This window comes from Homo sapiens, chromosome Y (assembly GCF_000001405.40).
Source record: "Homo sapiens chromosome Y, GRCh38.p14 Primary Assembly".
Lineage (NCBI taxonomy): Eukaryota > Metazoa > Chordata > Mammalia > Primates > Hominidae > Homo > Homo sapiens.
Window position 1 is genome coordinate 19,744,738 of NC_000024.10, and position 21,822 is coordinate 19,766,559.

At 37.5% G+C, this 21,822-nt stretch overlaps 1 long non-coding RNA gene across 3 annotated transcripts; it reads left to right on the plus strand.

The window, feature by feature from the left end:
* KDM5D-DT (KDM5D divergent transcript) lies at positions 19-14,334 on the plus strand. Of its 3 annotated transcripts, XR_007068464.1 has the most exons (4): positions 101-976; positions 9,990-10,078; positions 10,468-10,587; positions 11,906-12,712. It is a non-coding gene; the product is annotated as a KDM5D divergent transcript (long non-coding RNA). The 3 variants fall into 3 exon arrangements; XR_001756067.3 differs by having other exon boundaries at positions 19-976; positions 9,889-10,078; positions 10,468-12,819; XR_938630.4 differs by having other exon boundaries at positions 48-976; positions 10,468-14,334.
* The last annotated feature ends 7,488 nt before the right edge of the window (positions 14,335-21,822 follow it).

The following is a 21,822-nucleotide window of genomic DNA, read 5'->3' on the forward strand; positions in this document are numbered from 1 at the left end:
CGTCTCACTCCGCGGATCGATTTTTCCGGCGCTATTTCCAAACCTGTGAGACCTTCCGCACCTGAGATAAACGCTGAGGACGCAAGAGCGATTTTACCAGAGGAAAACAGTCACAGAGCCGTCGCTGGACTCATATTAAACAGTACTGCGACAGAACGAAAAAGCAAGATAAAAATAGTATGGCCGGATCTTTTTTAAAATGGGACCACTGCGCAAGTTACGCCTGCGTATTGCAGGGAAGGACCGTAAAAGGCTGTGGTGCTGATCAACGAAGGATTTCTCGGAGAAAATTCCTCCTTTGCGGAAATGTCCGTAGAAACGCACCTTTTTTTTTTCCTGCCAGGACAAACCGCCGGCGATATCCGTTCATGTGAAAGTGTTTACTAACATTCTCTGAAGACTCACTGGGTTCTCAGCTCGAGAACGTTCCTGTCACAAGACGTTTAGGAGGCAGGATGCCGGTACAATGTATTTATGTTCTTGTAAACTGTTGCATTAACAGTGCACTTCAAGTGGGCACATTTGTCGTTGGATTTTTTACCAACTCGAGCTTGGACTTTAGGACGGGGAAAAGAAGTGCTAAATGTTTTTGAATAAAACCTTTACTGCACATGATAAACATCCCTTAAAAATTACCTAGGAGCACCCTAAATTTTAAAATGATCACAAAGACCTGGACAGATTACAGTAAACCTTCAACATCGCTAAACACACGTACCATAAATCAAAAGAAACACACTGCTAATGATCCGTTTTTTGATGTGGAAATATCATGCTGTTTTTAAGGGAAATTATACTTTATTGCGATGTTTTATTTCAAAACAAGATGTTACACTTTATTTCCTATAATTTTATTTACAATATTTTACACCCGTTAAGCAAAAATCCCCCTACATTGCTATTCTGTTTTTTTTTAATCAGTTCACTACTGTAGTATCTTTTTGTTCTCCATATATTTTTGAAAAATACGCAAAAGGTAAGTTTTAAAAATCAAATGGTAGATTTTATTTGGAAGGGCACTGCCAGAAGTGCCTTAAAGTTTGATAGTTTGACAATTGTTTCGTATTGTACGATTCTTGGCATTTCCGTTTTTTTTTTTAACAATTTATCCATTTCATCTAGATTATCGGCTTCATGAGTTTATTATACTACATTACATATATATTCCTGTTTCAAAAGTTGTTACTTAATTTTCTGCTTTCTTTTTCCTAGTTTTATCTACATACTTTTTCTGTTTCATAAAGTTAGAGTTATAGAGTTCTATTTCATAAAATTAGTTATAGAGCCTGTATTATTTCAAATGATGAGATCTTTTTTCTCTGTTCAAGATAATTCATTATAATACAGCTTTATATTTTATGAATTCATTAGTAAATAGATATTTCAATTTCTACTTTTAGCTATTATAATGTTGCTATTAGCATTTGTGTACCGGTTTTTGTGTGCATGCTTAGTGTCATTTCTCGTGTGTATACACCTACAAGTAGAATTAGTGGGTTATATGGGAACTTTAGGTTTAAACTTTTCTTTTCCAAAGCATCTTCATCATTTAATTTCCATCTAAAGTGGAATACCGTTCTAGTTTCTTCATGTCCTCACCAATACTATAATTACATGACTTACTGATTTGACCATTACAATGTGTATGAGATCTCATAGAGTTTTGAGTTGGACTTCTTGAATTACTAATGATACAGTAGTGTTGAGCATCTTTTCGTAAGGTTGTTGGCTTGTTCATATGCTTTATATACCTTCTCTGGAGAAATGTCTATTCAAAATTTTTGGCTCTTTTCACATTGGTTTGTCTTTTTTTGTTTAGTTGTAATCTTATCTGATTCTTTTATCAAATATTTGATTTTTATAAAAAATAATTCTGTAAGCTGGCTTTTCTCTTTCCTAATAGTAAACTTTGAACAGAAAGATTTTTAATTTGATCTTTATCCAGTTTGCTTTTTTCTATTGTCACTTGTACTTTCAGTGTTGCCTCTGAGGGGATTTTGTCTAACCCAAAATCACAAGGATGTACTCTTCTCCTCTATTCTAGGACCTTTATAGTATTAGCTTCTACATTAAAGTCTTTGATACATTTTGAGTTAACTTGTGTAAACACTGTGAAGTAATGATCCAACTCAATATTTTTGCGTGTTGCCATCTAGTTGTCCCAGAATTTGTTGGAAACATTATTATTGCTTCATTAATTGTTCTTGGCACTCTTGATAACATTCCGTTGGCCATAAATGTATGGGTTTATTCTTGGACTCTCAATTTCGTTCCATATTTATATGTATGTATATATTCTAATGCCATATTGTTTTTATTGCTGTAGTTTGTGGAAGGTTTGAATTGGGAAAAGTGAGTAATCCCAACTTTCTTCTTGTTTTTTTCGAGACTGTTTGGCTATTATTTGTTTCTTGTATTTTTATTACCTTGCCTGTTTCTACAGAGAAACAAGCTGGGGTTTCAACAGACAAGCAAGCTGGGACTGAGACAGAAATGTTGAATCTACAGACAAATTTAGGAAATATTTCCATCTAAGTTTCCTATACATGGACAAAGCATGTATTTCAATTTATTTAGGTCTTCTTTGGTTTCCTGCAACAAAGTTTTATAGTTTTTGGTATTTTTTGTATATTAGTATTTAGTATGTATTATATATATTTGAAATTAATTTACTTCAGATTATCTTATTCTATTTCTGCTACTATGAATCAAATTTTTAAAAGATTTCCCCTATTAAGGGTTTGTTAGTGATACACAGAAATATGATTAATTTTTGTATGTTGATCTTGTGTTCTGGCACCTTGCTAACTTCATTTATTGTAATACATATATTTTTTAACTTTTAAGTTCAGAGGTTCATGTGCACTATATGATGGTTTGTTTTATAAGTAAGCCTGTGTGATAGGGTTCGTTGTACAGATTATTTCATCACCCAGGTATTAAGCCTAATATCCATTAGTTATATTTCTTGCTTCTCTCCCTCCTCCTGTGCTCCACTCACCCACTTATAAATGAGAACATGCAGTATTTGGTTTTCGGTTCTGGCGTTTGTTTGCTAAGGATAATGGTCTCCAGCTGTGTTACTGCAAAGACATGATCTTGTCTTTTTTTATGGCTGCATAGAAATCTATGGTGTATATTTACCACATTTTCTTTATCCAGTCTATCACTGACGAGCATTTGGGCTGATTCCATTGTCTTTGCTTTCGTGAATAGCTGCAGTGAATGTACATATGCTGTTGTGAATACCTGCAGTGAACATACATGTGCATGTATCTTTATAACAGAATGATTTATAATCCTTTGGGATATACCCAGTAATGGGATTGGTGGGGTTGAATGATAATTCTATCTTTAGGTCTTTGAGGAATTGCCACACTGTCTTCCATAATGCTGAACTAATTTACATTCCCACCAGCAGTGTAAAAGCATTTCTATTTCTCCAGAACCTCACCTGAATCTGTTATTTTTTGACTTTATAATAATAGGTATTCTGACAGGTTTGGGATACTATCTCATTGTGGTTTTGATGCGCATTTCTATAAGGATCAGTGATGTTGAGCTTTTTAAGATGTTTGTTGTCTACATGTGTATGTCTTGAGAATTGTCTGTTCATGTCCTTTGCCCACTTTTTAATGAGGTTCTTTGTTTTTTCCTTGTAAATTTGTATAAGTTCTTTGTGTATGCTAGATATTAGACCTTTGTCAGATGCATAGTTTACAATTTTTTCCCATTCTGTACTTTGTCTATTTAATTTGTTGATGGTTTATTTGCTAGTGCAGAAGCTCTTTAGTTTAATTAGATGTCATTTGTTAATTTTTTCTTTTGTCACAATTGCTTTTGACATCTTCTTCAAGAAGTCTTTACTCCTGCCTATGTTCTGAATGGTTTTGCCTAGATTTGCTTCTAGGGTTTTTATAGTTTTGGGTTTTACATTTAAGTCTTTAATCCATCTTGAGTTAATTTTTGTATATGGAGTAATAAAAAGGTCCAGTTTCAATTTTCTCTATATGGCTAGCCAGTTTCTCACAGCACCATTTATTAAATAGAGAGTCTTTTCACCATTGCTTTTGTAAATTTTCTTGAAAATCAGATACTTGTAAGCATGTAGTCATATTTCTGGGTTTTCCATTCTATTCCTTTGGTCTATGTGTCTGTTCTTTTATCAGTACCATGCTGTTTGGGTTACGGTACTTCTGTAGTGTAGTTTGAAGTTGGGAAGCATGATGAATTTAGTTTTGATTATGTTGCTTAAAATTGCCTTGGCTGTACAGTCTCTTTTTTGGTTTCACATGAATTTTAAAATAGATTTTTCTAGTTCTGTGAAGAATGTTAATGGTAATTTAATGGGTATAGCATTGGATCTATAAATTGCTTTGGGCAGAGTGGCCATTTAGTGATATTGATTCCGCCTATCTGTGAGCATGGAATACTTTCCATTTGTTTATGTCATCTCTTAGTTATTTGAGTAGTGATTTGTATTAATAGTTCTTCCTGTACAGGTCTTTCACTTCCCTGGTTAGCTGTACTTTAGGTGTTTTATTCTTTTTGTGGCTATGGTGAATGAGAGTTTGTTCATGACTTGGCTCTTGGCTTTACTATTGATGGTGTATAAGAACGCTAATGATTTTTGCACATTGATTTTGTATTGTGAGATTTTGCTCAAGTTGTTTATCAGCTTAAAAAGCTTTGGGGCTGAGATGATGGATTTGTGTGCATATAGAATCATATTGGTTGCAAACAGGGATAATTTGATTTCCTCTCTTCCTATTTCAATATCTTTTATTCCTTTCTCTGGCCTGATTGCCCAGAACTTTCAATACTATATTGGATACAAGTAGTGTCAGAGGACATCTTTGTCTTGTGCCAGTTTTCAAGGAAAATGATTCCAGCTTTTGCCTTTTCAGTATGATGTTTGCAGTGGGTTTTTCATACATGACTTTCATTACATTATTTTGAGGTATGTTCCAGATATGGCCCCGATAAGTGGAGTAGCACTAGGATCCTTATTCTTGCACTGAATTGAATAAAATGACACGGACACACGTGAGTGGTTTTAAGGAGTGGAAACTTTAATAAGAAAGAAGCAAGGAAGAAGCAAACAGGTACCCTTACAGATATGGAGTTGGGGAAGAGGGATTCTAACAAAGAGAAAATCCTGTGTGCAGAGAAAAGTTGCTGCTTATATGGGAAAGCTGGTGGAGGTGGTGTCTGATTTGCTTAGGGTTCAGGAGATTGGTTTGACCAGGCTTGCCATTTACATAGCCCAGAAAAAGTCTGGCCCTTCCACCCTAGCCTTTTAATATGCAAATGTAGGGCACCATGATGTTCTACACACATAGGGTATGTGGGGGTGGTCATTTTGCCAGGCACATGTAGGGGCAAGGAAGAAAAGGGCAGGAATTGTTATGTTTGGGTGGACCCAGTTTCTGATGGGCAGCATTTTCATATCATAGCTTGCTGCCCGGCTCTCTGAGCAGGGGCTATTCAGGTAGACAAGAAACATTTCTGGAGCTGCTTTCAAAGAAAAAAACTTCTGAAGGACCCCTTTCCCTCCCATCTGCTTATAGTAATTTTTTAATAAATCCTACAACATTCCTTCCGTAACTGGTTTATTGAGAGTTTTTAACATGAAGTGATATTGAATTTTATCAAAAGTCTTTTCTGCATCTATTGAGATAATCATGTAGTTTTAATCTTTAGTTCTGTTTATGCAATGAAACACATTTATTGATTGCCATATGTTTAACCAACCTTGCATTCTGGGCCTGAACCCTACTTGATTGTGGTGGATATGTTTTTTGCCATGCTGCTGGATTTGGTTTCTCAGTATCTTGTTTGGGATTTTTGTATCGGTGTTCATCAAAGATACAGGCCTGAGGTGGTGGTGGTGGTGGTGGTTGTGTCTCTGCCTGATTTTGGTATCAGGGTGATGCTAACTTTGTAGAATGAGTTAGGGAAGGGATCCTTTTTTCCAGTTTTTAAAAATAGCTTCAGTAGAAATGGCACCAGCTCTTCTTGGTACCTCTGATAGAATTCAGCTATTAATCCACCTGGTCCTGAGATTTTTTTCTCTCTATTTTTCTTCTCTCTATTTTTTTCTCTCTATTCTCAAATAGAGAATCTCTCTATTTGATTCTTCTCTCTTTTCTTCTTTATTAGTCTTGCTAGCGATCTATCAATTTTGTTGATCCTTTCAAAAAACCAGCTCCTGGATTCATTAATTTTTTGAAGGGTTTTCTGTGTCTCTATTTCCTTCAGTTCTGCTCTGATTTTAATTATTTCTTGCCTTCTGCTAGCTTTTGAATGTGTTTGCTCTTGCTTTTCTAGTTCTTTTAATTGTGATGTTAGGGTGTGAATTTTGGATCTTTCCTGCTTTCTCTTGTGGGCATTTAGTGCTATAAATTTCCCTCTACACAGTGCTTTGAATGTGTCCCAGAGATTCTGGTATGTTGTGTCTTTGTTCTCATTGGTTTCAAAGAACATCTTTATTTCTGCCTTCATTTCGTTATGTACCCAGTAGTCATTCAGGAGCAGGTTGTTCAGTTTCCATGTAGTTGAGCGGTTTTGAGTGAGTTTCTTAATCCTGAGTTCTAGTTTGATGCACTGTGGTCTGAGAGACAGTTGTTATAATTTCTGTTTTTTTACATTTTCTGAGGAGAGCTTTACTTCCAACTATGTGGTCAGTTTTGGAATAGGTGTGGTATGATGCTGAAAAAAATGTATATTCTGTTGATTTGGGGTGGAGAGTTCTGTAGATGTCTATTAGGTCCACTTGGTGCAGAGCTGAGTTCAATTCCTGGGTATCCTTGTTAACTTTCTGTCTCGTTGATCTGTCTAATGTTGACAGTGGGGTGTTAAATTCTCCCATTATTATTGTGTGGGAGTCTAAGTCTCTTTGTAGATCACTCAGGACTTCCTTTATGAATCTGAGTGCTCCTGTATTGGGTGCATATATATTTAGGATAGTTAGCTCTTCTCGTTGAATTGATCCCTTTACCATTCTGTAATGGCCTTCTTTGTCTCTTTTGATCATTGTTGGTTTAAAGTCTGTATTATGAGAGACTAGGATTGCAACCCCTGCCTTTTTTTGTTTTCCATTTGCTTGGTAGATCTTCCTCCATCCTTTTATTTTGAGCCTACGTATGTCTCTGCACGTGAGATGGGTTTCCTGAATACAGTACACTGATGGGTCTTGACTCTTTATCCAATTTGCCAGTCTGTGTCTTTTAACTGGAGCATTTAGTCCATTTACGTTATGTGTAAATTTGATCGTGTCATTATGATGTTAGCTGGTTATTTTGCTCGTTAGTTGATGCAGTTTCTTCCTAGCCTCGATGGTCTTTACAATTTGTCATGATTTTGCAGTGGCTGGTACCACCTGTTCCTTTCCATGTTTAGCGCTTCCTTCAGGAGCTCTTTTAGGGCAGGCCTGGTGGTGACAAAATCTCTCAGCATTTGCTTGTCTGTAAAGTATTTTATTTCTCCTTCACTTATAAAGCTTAGTTTGGCTGGATATGAAATTCTGGGTTGAAAATTTTTTTCTTTAAGAATGTTGAATATTGGCCCCCACTCTCTTCTGGCTTGTAGAGTTTCTGCCGAGAGATCCGCTGTTACTCTGATGGGCTTCCCTTTGTGGTTAACCCGACCTTTCTCTCTGGCTGCCCTTCATTTGAACTTTGGGTAGTCTGACAATTATGTGTCTTGGAGTTGCCCTTCTTGAGGTGTATCTTTGTGGTGTTCTCTGTATTTCCTGAATCTGAATGTTGGCGTGCCTTGCTAGATAGGGGAAGTTCTCCTGGATAATATCCTGCAGAGTGTTTTCCAACTTGGTTCCATTCTCCCTGTCACTTTCAGGTACACCAATCAGACGTAGATTTGGTCTTTTCACATAGTCCCATATTTCTTGGAGGCTTTGTTCATTTCTTTTTATTCTTTTTTCTCTAAACTTCCCTTCTCACTTCATTTCATTCATTTCATCTTCCATCACTGATACCCTTTCTTCCAGTTGTTCGCATCGGCTCCTGAGGCTTCTGCATTCTTCACGTAGTTCTCGAGCCTTGGCTTTCAGCTCCATCAGCTCTTAAGCACTTCTCTGTATTGATTATTCTAGTTATACATTCGTCTAAATTTTTTTCAAAGTTTTTAACTTCTTTGCCTTTGGTTTGAATTTGCTCCTGTAGCTCAGAGTAGTTTGATCGTCTGAAGCCTTCTTCTCTCAACTTGTCAAAGTCATTCTGCATCCAGCTTTGTTCCGTTGCTGGTGAGGAACTGCATTCCTTTGTAGGAGGAGAGGCGCTCTGCTTTTTAGAGTTTCCAGTTTTTCTGCTCTGTTTTTTCCCCATCTTTGTGGTTTTATCTACTTTTGGTCTTTGATGACGGTGATGTACAGATGGGTTTTTGGTATGGATGTCCTTTCTGTTTGTTAGTTTTCCTTCTAACAGAGAGGACCCTCGGCTGCAGGTCTGTTGGAGTTTACTAGAGGTCCACTCCAGAGCCAGTTTGCCTGGGTACCAGCAGCGGTGGCTGCAGAACAGCAGATTATCGTGAACTGTGAATGCTGCTGTCTGATCGTTCCCCTGAAAGTTTTGTCTCAGAAGAGTACCCAGCCGTGTGAGGTGTCAGTCTGCCCCTACTGGGGGCTGCCTCCCAGTTAGGCTGCTCTGGGGTCAGGGGTCAGGGACCCACTTGAGGAGGCAGTCTGCCCGTTCTCAGATCTCCAGCTGCATGCTGGGAGAACCACTGCTTTCTTCAAAGCTGTCAGACAGGGACATTTAAGTCTGCAGAGGTTACGGCTGTCTTTTTGTTTGTCTGTGCCCTGCCCCCAGAGGTGGAGCCTACAGAGGCAGGCAGGCCTCCTTGAGCTGTGGTGGGCTCCACCCAGTTGGAGCTTCCCGGCTGCTTTGTTTACCTAAGCAAGCCTGGGCAATGGCGGGCTCCCCTCCCCAAGCCTCGCTGCCGCCTTGCAGTTTGATCTCAGACTGCTGTGCTAGCAATCAGCGAGACCTCACTGGCGTAGGACTCTCCAAGCCAGGTGCGGGATATAGTCTCCTGGTGCACCGTTTTTTAAGCCCATTGGAAAAGCACAGTATTAGGGTGGGAGTGACCCGATTTTCCAGATGCCATCTGTCACCCCTTTCTTTGACTAGGAAAGGGAACTCCTTGACCCCTTGCGCTTCCTGAGTAAGGCAATGCCTCACCCTGCTTTGGCTCATGCACGGTGTGCTACATCCACTGTCCTGAGCCCACTGTCTGGCACTCCCTAGTGAGATGAACCCGGTACCTCAGATGGAAATGCAGAAATCACTCGTCTTCTGCGTCACTCACGCTGGGAGCTGTAGACCGGAGCTGTTCCTATTCGGCCTTCTTGGCTGACTGAATAGGAACATTTGGCCTGACCTCAAAAGAATTTTTGGTTATTTCTTGTCTTCTGCTAACTTTTGGGTTCATTCACTGTCGGTTATCTAGTTCCTTTAGTTATGAAGTTAGGGTGTTAACCTGACAACCTTCTTTTTTTTTTTTTTAAAGTGGGCATTTATGCTATAAATTTCCCTGTTAATACTGCCTTTGCTGCATCCGAAAGATTCTGGCACATTGTAGGTTTGTTGTCATGAGTTTCAAATAATTTTTTGATTTCTGCCTTAATTTCATTATTTACCCAAAAGTCATGCAGAAGCAGGCCATCCAATGTCTATGCAAATTGTATGGCTTTGAGTGAATTTTTTAGTCTTGAGTTCTAATTTGATTGTGCTGTGGTCTAACAGACTGTTTATTTCCAGTTGTTTTGAATTTGCTAACGAGTGTTTTATTTCTAATTATTTTATCAATTTTAGATGAAGTGCTATGTGACAATGAGAAGAATGTATATTCTGTTGTGTTTTGATGCAGAGTTCTGCAGAACTTATCAGGTTGGACTCTGTGAAGCCTGCAGGCCAGAATTGCTAAGGTGACAAAAAAGCAAAAAAAAAGTCAACTTCTCCTCTCTCTAGGAAGTCTGTCCCAGGAAGTTTTCAAACCTCTCTTGGCCAGAGAACATCAGTGGGAGTGATTGGAGGCCCTGGATGGGAAGTCCCGCCAAGTAAGGAGGAACACATAGGAACTTGCTTAAAGAATAATTCTGCCCATGCTTTCATAGAGATAATGTGCTGTACTAGGGTACTGTCTGCCCCTGCATGGTTTGGACTTTGCTAAGACAACAGGCTGGAATGGCTGAGTTTTCCAAACAGCAAAGACCATGGCCCACCCCTCCCCTAGGCACTCCATCCAGGGAGAAATTAAAACTGCTGGAGAATATAGGTGGGGGTGGCTAGAGGCCCCAGTTGGGAGGCCCCTCCCCAGAGATAAGAAGCAGATTGATGTCCCACTTAAAGAAGCAGTCTAGCCACATTTTGGTAGAGCAGCTGTGGTGTGCCAGGGAGTCCCTTTCATCCCCTGGTCAGTTTTGTTTGCGCTCTCCTAAACCTGCAGGCTGGAACAGCTGAGCCATCCAAACAGCAAGGATGACAACCTTCCCTTTCTCCTAAGAACTCTGCCCCATTCAAGCTTGGCCCAACACTGTTGCCAGGGGCTGGCTGGAATTCCAAGCTGGTGAGTCTTATCCTATGAGGTGCCATGAAAGTGGGGCCCACAGAAGGATGCTGCTCAGCTTCCTGGATTCAGCTCTCTTCCTAAGGTTATGTACAAAAATCTTATCTCTCACTTTGCCTGAGTTGCAGCTACCTTTGCTGGTGATCCTGGACCCAAAGTGTGCCAGCCTCTCCTGATACTCTGTGTGTACCTGAGCAGCTATTCTGCCAAGACTTCACACAGCTCTGTGCATGAAACCCAAGGCCTTAGTGAAGTGGGATCATGAGGGGATCTCCTAACTGGAGTGTTAAAAGATCCTTAGGAGAAACATTGAGTATTATTTCCCAGGGTGTACATTCGCTCACCACTTCCCTGTGTTAGGGGAGGTTCACTTGGCCACTTGTTACTCATGTTGTTGTTATTGTTTAAGTATTTATTTAGATGATCCATTAGATGATCCATTAAATGCCCAAAGTGGGGTTTTGAAGTCGACAATTATTATTGTGTTGGGGTCTATCTCTCTCGTTAGCTTAATAATCTTTTCTTTGTAAATCTTGATTCTCCAGCATTGGGTGCATGTAAATTTAAAATTGTTATATCTTTTTGCTGAATTGATCCCCTTATCATCATTTAATGGCCTCACTTTTGTCTCGAAATCTATTTTACCTGATATAAGTATAGCTACTGCTCCTCTATTTTGGTTTCCGTTGGCACATATTTGTGTCCTTATAAGGTGAGGTAAATTCTCTTGTAGACAGCATGTAGTTGTCTTCCCTTTTCATTTATTCACCTACTCTACATCTTTTGGTTAAAAAATTTAGTTTATTTACATTCATTATTATAGATGAGCAGGGACTTACTACTGACGTTTATTTGTATTTTTTTATTAGTCATTTTTTTCTTCATGTCGTTTTATACAAGTGACTTTTTTTTCTGCTTCTAGGGTTTAATTTCTTTATTTTTATATATTGTGTATCAATTATAGGTTTTGTATATGTGCTTACTAGTTTGCTTACATATAACATGTTATAACCAATTATTTTAAATAAAAACAACTATAATCAAAATTTTAAAACATAGAAAAGTAAAAATCTCTACACTTTATATTCTCCTCTGTTTTATGTCTTTTGGTTGTCTTGTCTTTGTATATTATCTGTCTCTTAAATGATGTAATTATCAGTTTTAACATATTGCTTCTTTAGTCTTTCTACTAAAGATATGAGTGGTTTGGACAACACGATTGTAACATTACAGTATTTTCTACTTGTGTATTTACTAGTAACATTGAGTTTTATAACTTCAGATGACTTGTTGCTCATTTCTGTTTTTTACTTTTCAGATTTCAAACATTTAGGTTCAAGGGATGCAGATGCAGGTTTGTTACATGGATAAACTGCAAGTTGTGTAGATTTGGTGCACAGATTATCTTGTTACCCAAATAATGAGCACAGTATGCTGTAAGCAGTTTTCTTTGCTCAGCCTCTTCTGGCCCTCCACCCTGAAGTAGATCCTGTGTCCATTATTGTCTTATTTCCATGTGTACTCAGTTTTAAGCTTATACATGTAAGTGAGAACATGCTATTTGGTTCTCTCTTCCTGTGTTAATTTGCTTAGGATAATGCCTTCCAGCTGCATCCATGTTGCTGCAAAGGACATAATTTTATTCTTTTTTTATGCTGTCTGGTATTCCATTGTGCATATATTTATTTTTATGTATGTACTTTTTAAATTCAGCTTACTGTTAATGGACACCTGGGTTAATTTCATGTCTTTGCTAGTACAAATAGTGCAGTAATGAACATATGTGTATATGTATTTCTATCATAGAATAATTTCCATTTCTTTGAGTATATGCTGAGCAGTGGGATTGCTGGGTCAAAGTTAGTTTTGTTCTAAGTTACTTGGGAAATCGTCAAACAAATTTCCACAATGCCTAAAGTAATTTACATAATCAGTAGCGGTGTATAAATGTTCCTTTTTCTCCACAACCTTGCCAGTATCTGTTATTTCTTGGTATTTTAGTAATAGCCATTCTGACTTGTGTGAGATTACCTCTCGTTGTGTTTTGATTTGTAATTCTCTAATAACTAATGATGTTGAACATTTTTATATGCTGGTTGGCTGCATGTATGTATTATTTATAGAAGTGTCTGTATATGTCCTTTGCCCATTTTTAATGGGATTGTTTTCTGTGAGTTAATTTCTTTTTTTTTTCTTTTTTTTTTTTTTTTCTTTTGAGATGGGGTGTCACTCTCGTTGCCCAAGCTGGAGTGCAATGGCGTGATCTTGGCTCACCACAGCCTCCACCTCCTGGGTTCCTCCTGCCTCAGCCTCCCGAGTAGCTGGGATTACAGGCATATACCACCATGCCTGGCTATTTTTTTTTTATACTTTTAGTAGAGACGGGATTTCTCCGTGTTGGTCAGGCTGGTCTCGAAATTCTGACCTCCGGTGATCCGCTCGCCTTGGCCTCCCAGAGTGTTGGGATTACAGGCATGAGCCACCACGCCTGGCAATTTAATTTCTTTATAGATGCTGGATATTAAACCTTTGTCAGATGCATTGTTTGCAAATATGCTGTCACCTTGGGTGGGTTGTCTGTTTACTCTGTTTACAGTTTCTTTTGCTATACAGAAGCTTTTCAGTTAAATTAGGTCTGACTTATCAATTTTTGTGTTTGTTGCAATTTTTTTTTGGAATCTTTGTCATAAAGTATTTTCCAGGGCCTATGTACAGAATGATACTCTCTAGGTTTTCTACTAGGGTTTTTAAATTTTTAGGCTTATAGTGAAATCTTCAATATATGTTTAGATTATTTTTGTATATGATAAAAGCAAGGGGTTCAATTCAATTTTCTGCATATAAGTAGCCAGTTATCCTAGCACTATTTATTGAGTATAGAGGTTTTTCCTTATTGCTTGTTCTTGTTGACTTTGTCAAGGATCACATCTGAGCTGGAGCCATGGCAGAGGAACATAAATTGTGAAGATTTCATGGCCATTTATCATTTCCGAAATAATACTTTTATAATTTATTATGCCTCTCTTTAATCTCTTAATCCTGTTACCTTTGTGAGCTGAGGCTGTACGTCACCTCAGGACCACTGTGATAATTGTGTTAACTGTACAAATTGATTGTAAAACGTGTTTGAACAATATGAAATCAGTGACCCTTAAAAAGAACAGAATAACAATTTTTAGGGAACAAGGGAAGACAACCTTAAGATCTGACTGCTTGTGGGGTTGGGCAAAAAGAGTCATATTTTTCTTCTTGCAGAGAGCCTATAAATGGACGTACAAGTAGGAGAGATATCACTAAATCCTTTTCCTTGCAGAGAATATTAATATTAATACCCTGGGAAAGGAATGCATTCCTGGGGGGAGGCCTATAAACGACTGCTCTGGGAATGTCTGTCCTATGCGGTTGAGATAAGGATGGAGATACCCCCTGGTATCCTGCAGTACCCCCGGGCTTACTAGGGTGGGGGAAAAAACTCTGCCCTGGTAAATTTGTAGTCAGACAGTTTCTCTGCTCTGGAACCCTGTTTTCCGTTGTTTAAGATGTTTATCAAGACAATATGTGCACTGCTGAACATAGACCCTTATCAGTAGTTCTGTTTTTGCCCTTTGCCTTGTGATCTTTGTTGGACCCTTATCAGTAGTTCTGCTTTTTGCACTTTGAAGCATGTGATCTTTGTACCTACTCTCTGTTCTTACACCCTCTCCCCTTTTGAAAGCCTTAATAAAAATTTGCTGGTTTTGAGGCTAAGGCAGGCATCACGGGCCTATGTGTGTGCATAGAGTTTTTTGTAATATTCTTTGATGGTTGTTAGTATTTCTGTGGTGTTAGTGGTAACATGCATTTTGTTGTTTTTGTCTTTATTTGGATCTTCTCTTTTTTCTTTATTAGTCAACTGGTAGTTTATCTTATTAATTTCTCAAAAGAAAACAACTCCTGAATTCATCGATTACTGATTTTGGTTATTTTTTGTCTTCTTTACGTTTAGTGTTGGTTTCCTCTTGTTTCTGTAGTTTCATTAGTTGTGATGTTAGGTTGTGAAATAGAGATCATTCTAACTTTTTGATGTGGATTTAGTGCTATGAATTTCCCCCTTAACACTGCCCTGCCATATCTCATAATTGGTATTATGTTGTATATGTTCTTAAAATAACTTTTTAATTTCTGCCTTAATATAATTACCTACCTGTCATTCAGAAACTTGTTGTTTAATTTTCATGTAATTGCATGATTTTGAATGAGTTTTTTTGTATTCTTCTATTAATTGAACTGTGGCCTTGGTGTATGTTGGATATGATTTTGGTTCTTTTGTATTTGCTGATTGTTTTATATCCAAATATGTGGTTGACTCTAGAGTAGATGGTGATGAGAAAAATGTGTATTCTGTTGCTTCAGATTGAAGAGTTTTTGGGGAAGTCAATCAGATCCTTGTGGCTCCATGTTGCGTTCAGGTCCTGAATAACTTTGTTAATTTTTTATCTTGATGATCTCTCTAATTTTGTCAGGGGAATGTTGATGTCTCCTACTGTTGTTGTGTGGGAGTCTACATCTCTATAGTGATTTCTAATAACTTGCTTTAAGAATTTAGGTGCTCCTGGCTCAGAGCAGTGGCTGATGCCTGTAATCCCTACACTTTGGGAGGCCAAGGTGGGTGGATCACCTGAGGTCAGGAGTTCAAGACCAGCCTGGCCAACATTGTGAAACCCTGTCTCTACTAAAAATACAAAACTTAGCCAGGTGTGGTGGAGCATGTAATCCCAGCTATTTGGGAGGCTGAGGCAGGAGAATCATTGAACCCAGGAAGTGGAGGTTGCAGTGAGCCAGGATTGCGCCACTGCACTCCAGCCTTGGTGACAGAGCAAGACTCCATCTCAAAAAAAAAAAAAAAAAAAAAAAGAATTTAGGTGCTCCTGTCTTAGTATGTATTTACAATACCTACCATTATATAATGCCCTTCTTTATCTTTTTTTTTTTAAATTTTTGTTGGTTTAACGTCTGTTTTGTTTGAAGTTAGGATTGGGCTCTTTTTCGGTTCTCCATTTCGTTTGTAGATTTGTTTCCATCTCTTTAGTTGAGCCTGTGGATATCTTTGCAGGTGCAATGTATCTCTTGAACAGAGCACAAAATGGGGTCTTACTTCTTTATCTAGATTACCACCCTGTGCCTTTTCATTGGGATATTTAGCCTATTTTCATTCAAGGTTAGTATTGATATTTGTGGATTTGATCCTGTCGTCATGTTGTTGGTTTCTCATTATGCAGTCTTGTTTATGTTATTGCTTTATCATGTCATTGGTTTGTGTATGCCAAGAGTTTTTGTTGTTGTTGTTGTTATTGTTGTTGTTTTTTCAGTGGCTGATAATGGTCTTTGCTTTCTGTACTTAGTGCTTTTTTAGGAGATCTTATACAGCAGGTCTAGTACTAATGAATTCTCTCAAGATTTGCTTCTCTGAAAAAGATCTTATTTTTCACCTGTGAAGCTTAATTTGCCTTTATAGAATATATAAAATATAGCATATGTAAAATTCTTGGTTGAAATTTTTTTAAGAGTATTGAATATAAGCCCTCAATATTTTCTGGCTTGTGGAGTTTCTGCTGAGAAGTATTCTGTTAGTCTAATGGGCTCCCCTTTGTAGGTGACCTCACCTGCCTCTCTAGCTACCTTTAATATTTTTTGTTCCATTTTGTCCTTAAAGAATCTGATGATTATGTGTCTTGGGAATGATCTTTCTGTGAAATGTCTTGTTGAAGTTCTTTATGTTTCCTGAATTTAAATTTTGGCCTCTCCAGCTACATGGGGGAATTTCTTATAGATAATATTTTGAAGTATGTTTTTCAGGTTGTTTCCATTCTTCTCATTTCTTTCAAGAATGCTAGTGAGTCATAGATTTGGTCTCTTTACATAAGCACATATTTTACAGAGATTTTGTTCATTCTTTTTATTCTTTATTGTTGTCTTATTTTGGAAAGCCGGTATTTGACCTCTTAGTCTTTTTTTATCAGCTTAGTCTGTTCTGCTTTGATATTTGCAAGTGCATTATGAAATTTTTATAGTGTGTCATTCAGCTCTATCAGGTTGATTATGTCCATTTTTTTTTTTTTTTAGAGTCTAACTGTTACCCAGAGTGGAGTACAGTGGCACGATCTCAGCTCACTGCAACCTCAGCCTTCTGGGTTCAAGCAATTCTTTGCCTCAGGCTCCCAAGTAGCTGGGATTACAGTCACCTGCCACCAAGCCTGGCTAATTTTTCTATTTTTAGTAGACACAGGGTTTCACCATCTTGGCCAGGCTAGCCTTGAACTCCTGAACTCCTCATCCACCCACCTCAGCCTTTCAAAGGATTATGTCCCTTTTTATACTGGCTATTTTTTTCTGTCAGTGCCTGTATTGTTTTATTTTTATTTATTTTTATTTTCAGTCTTAATTTTTTATGATTGGATTTCAATATCCTCCTCAATCTCAGTGGTCTTAGCTCCTGTGAATAGTCTGAATACTGTTTCTGTCACTTCAGCCATCTCAGCTCAGTAAAGGATCCTTGTTGGAGAGGTAGTGCAGCCATTTGCGGGGGAATAAAAGGCACTCTAGATTTTTCAGTTGTCAGAGTTTGTGTACTGATTTCTTTTCTTTTCTTTTCTTTTTGAGAGAGAGTTTCACTCTTGTCACCCAGGCTGGAGTGCAGTGGGGTGATCTCAGCTCACTGCAACCTCTGCCTCCTGGGTTCAAGTGATTCTCCTGCCTCACCCTCCTGAGTATCTGGGATTACAGGCGCCCACCACCACACCCAACTAATTTCTTGTATTTTTAGTAGAGATGAGGTTTCACCATCTTGGCCAGGCTGGTCTTGAACTACTGACCTCAGGTGATCCACCCGCCTCAGCCTCCCAAAGTTCTGAGATTACAGGCATGAGCCACCACGCCCAGCTGATTTTTTTTTTTTTAAATCTGTATGGGCTGATGTTTCTTCAGTCTTTGAGGTTGCTGTCTTTTGGATTTTTGAAAAAATCCTATTTAATAACTTAGTGGGTTGGTTTGTAGCAACAGTGAATTCAATCAACTGGCTTTATTTCTAGAATATTTTAAAGATATTTTATCTCAGGATTTCTGGATGGTGTTCTGTAACTCTAGGGACTGGGAATGAGCTTTGGCTTTGTTCCTTTACACCCTGAGGTTAGAAATCTGCTGCACTGGAGGGACCAAGATGCTCTCAGAGAAATGGTCACAACACTCTAATGATTGGTAGTAGCCAATGTGCTTCATATGCGGGTGGTAGCAGGATTCATCTTCGTACTCACATGCCACCAGCATCAGCAGTGGCAGCATGATGGGGTGCACATTCATCAGTTGTGCCAGGGTGTCAGTGGGTGCTGGGTTTCCAGTCTCCATGAAAGCATATGCAGCACTGACAGTGGCAGCACACTATGGGAGGTTATGTGGAGGGCAGTTGGTGATTGTGTGCATATTTGTAGTGTTGGTGGGTGTTAGCATGGGGGCAGCTTTCTTTTGGATGCAGGACTGTGTGTGCCCTCTCTGTGCATTTGTGGGGGCAGTGGTGATCACTCAGATGTGGTAGGTTGCACTGTTTTCTGTGCCTACTTTTATGCTGGCAGCAGTGTTGTTTCAGGTTTGGAGCACTGGCAGGGGCAGGACTGGTGGACTTCATTCCCTCCAACACTCTGATGACAGTGGCAGTCCAGTGGAGGGTGTGAGATGCACTAACACCAACAGCAGTGGCACAGCAGGTTGCACACACATGCATGCTGGTAGGCAACCAAAAGCAAGATCTGTTCACGCATACATACACCAGCAAATGGGGGTGGCCATTTACTTTCAGTCTTAAGAAGAAAGTTTGTCATTTGAAATATGCAATTTAGTGTATTTTAAATATGCTGGGAGATTAGCATATTTTAAAATATTTTACGTAAAAATGAAGAAAATGACATAGAACAAAGTGAGCACAAGGGTCACATTGAGAGGTTTTAACTATAATTAAATTTTCATCTAATAAATATGATAATTATAAAGAAAACCAGCTGGTTTTTGGAAGACATCAAAGTGTTCTGTATCAAGCAATAATCTCCATTAACCTATTCTGAAAGGCAGGAGCAGGATGGACTGCATATTCTGAACTTTGGGAGGTAAATCTGTGTTGGAGCTGCTCACTGTCCATGGAGGAGTGGAGCACAAAGTATCTGGGGGTGAAGGTCATGGCACCATTTTTCAGCAGGGGGAGGAATAATTTTTGGTTTGAAATATTCAAAAAAAAATTTGAAAAAATTAAACTGGGTATGTGTGTATTTGACCATAGTAAAAAAATTTTAACAGACCTTTTTTTGATTATCATTACATAATACAAATAAAATTTACTGATAATTCAAAAATTTGAACAACAAAAAGCCTTGTCCTAAACTGACATATATTGAACCTGAGCTTTGTGTTATGTTTTTCAGTACATATGGGTCAATTATTTCCTCTCAAAAATTTTAACAAATTATGACATTTTATATAACAAATTATAACCTTTTAATTATAGAATATAGCCTCACTACCCAATAAGTAATAATATTTTTGAAATGCTGTATTAAATTTCTTAAATAGTAAAAATTGAAACTGGGACACTTGTAATGAATAATTACTTTGTTTGTAAATCACAATAGAGATTCTCCATATCAAAGCTGTGAACTGTATTCTATAGTATTTAGGCAAATAAGATAGCTACAAATTTAAGTACTGTAATAATAGATGCCTGACAATATGTGCTATAGGTAAATCTTTGAAATTTATTAAATGAAGTATAGATTGAATACAAGTAATATGTAATAATACATTATAATTTAATAACATTTAGAATAATTACATTTTATACAAAAATAAAATTAAGATAAAATTCACATAGTGCAATGGTGAGTAAGATGTGAAAAGACAATAAGAATAAACAGCATTAAAATTATTGATAGAGTTTGTAAAACCCCTAGAGATTAAGGAAAACAAACATAGGAATAAATTAGAAAACTAGAGACAATAATAATTTCTGTAAATTATAGGCTACCAAAACCAGAATAAGAATAAACAAGGACTCAAAAAACAAATTTTAAATATTTGGAAGTATTAATCAAAAGTTCTCATTACTTTAAATGATTCTTTTTCCATTTTTAAGGTCTAGGTATTCCTTATTCAAAGCAGTTTTACTAATCAGGAAAATGGGAAAAGCCATGGAAATATTTTATATGGCTATTACACTCAAAACATGCAAGATTTAAAACTAGGCCAATATAAATTATGGACTTGGATATACAACTAGTATCTAAGTATACAAATAATAACAAATGGTTTATTTCAGAATTATACGATATACCAGTAAGAGGATCAAATCATATCATCAAATACATTACAAATTAAATGAGACAAGTACATTCACTGAGGAAATCATTTTATACCCTTATACATTGTTTCTAAGCAATTTAACTTAGAAAAAAATTAACAGAGAACATTTCAACTCTTCATGATGGCAACACATCAGGATATGGAAATAACCAATGAAAATGCCCAAGAAACCCATAAAGTCATGTTCAACGTCCTTATTGATTAGGAAAATACAAATAAAAACCACAATGAGATATCACTTCATAGCTAGTAGTATAGGTACAGTTAGGAAGATAGATAAATGTGCGTGAGGATGTGGAGATAAGTAGAGACTAATACAATGCTGGTGAAATGGTGAAATGATGCAGCCATTTGGGAACACTTTGACAAGTCCTCCAAAGGTAACCATAGAGTTACCATATAATCCAGAAATTCCACTCCAAAGGATACGCCCAGTACAAACAAAAACATACAGCCACACAAAAACTTGTACATAAATGCCCACAGAAACATTATTTATTATAGCCAAAAGTGCAAACAATCCACAATGACAATCAGTGGAGGAATAGATAAACAAATGTGATACATTCATACAATGGAATAGTATTTAGGTATAAAAAGGAATGAAGTACCAATATGAGCTACGACATGGATGGAGATTGAAAACATGCTCAATGAAACAAGCAACACATAAAAGGCCAGGTACTTTATGAATCCATTTGTATAAAATACCCAGAGCAGGCAAATTCATAGAAACAGAAAATAAATTAATTTTTTGCCAGCTTGGGGAATGAGAGTAGGAAGGGACAGCTTAATTTGTATGGCTTTTATTTTGGGGGTGATTATACTGTTCTGGAGTTACCTCATATTAACAATTGTGAATACATCAAGAAACACTAAGTTGTAAATTTTAACATGATCAACATTTTTGTTATATGATTTTAATATCAATAAAATGAATTTTTAAAAATAAACAAGATAATTGTTGCCAAAATGCAGACCATCTTTCCAGCTGCAAATGTAAGTGTAGAAAACACACACACACACTCACAGAGAAACATTAAATGAACAGAATGAAAAGGTAAAATGAGCAAAGCCGAGTCATCAAGGTTGTATTGGTGTTTTGGGGTAACCTAGGAAAGCCAAAAATAGACACACTCAGGCTTCAGCCATGTATTTAGTGCAACTCTGTCATAGAAATATACCTGGTCTTGGTAGATGAATCAACTAGGTATATCTGTGTAATGTAAAATATGCTTAAAAATAATTTTTAAAAAAATGTCATGAGACTCAGAACATATGGTAAAATAATATTTAACTAATGAAGGACCAACAGATATGATAATCTTTTTTTTTTAAAAAAAGCACTATCAGCCAGAAGAGTATTATTCATGAATATCTAAGTGAATGTAAAAATGCAGGGAAAACTCATTTCATTATAGGGTGAAAGGAGAGACGATTGGACAAGACACCATGCTCATCTGACAGTGACCTAAAACTTAACAAAGGTCTGTAAAAGCACTCAATGGCATTGCAGGCTAGAATCATATAACCTGGATTGGTGTCATTTAGACAGGCTCAGGCTTACCATTGAAGAACACATTTCTACTATAAAAAGTCAAGTGGAAAAGTTACAGTTTTCTCAAGAACAGGGTACCATCATTAAGGTGACCAGGTTTTTATCATGGGAACTTCTAGTCCCAGATCTGATCATGGCTAAATGAATACCAATGGCATCCCAATGTCTAGGGTGTCACAAAGGCTGATCCCTAACCAGTGAGGGGCTGGCCCAGAGGTACACAGTGGGTGAGACTGAGCACTGCTGTCTTGAGACTCCAAGGCCACGTGGAGAGTCAAGTTGGGTCAACTGGAGCAAAG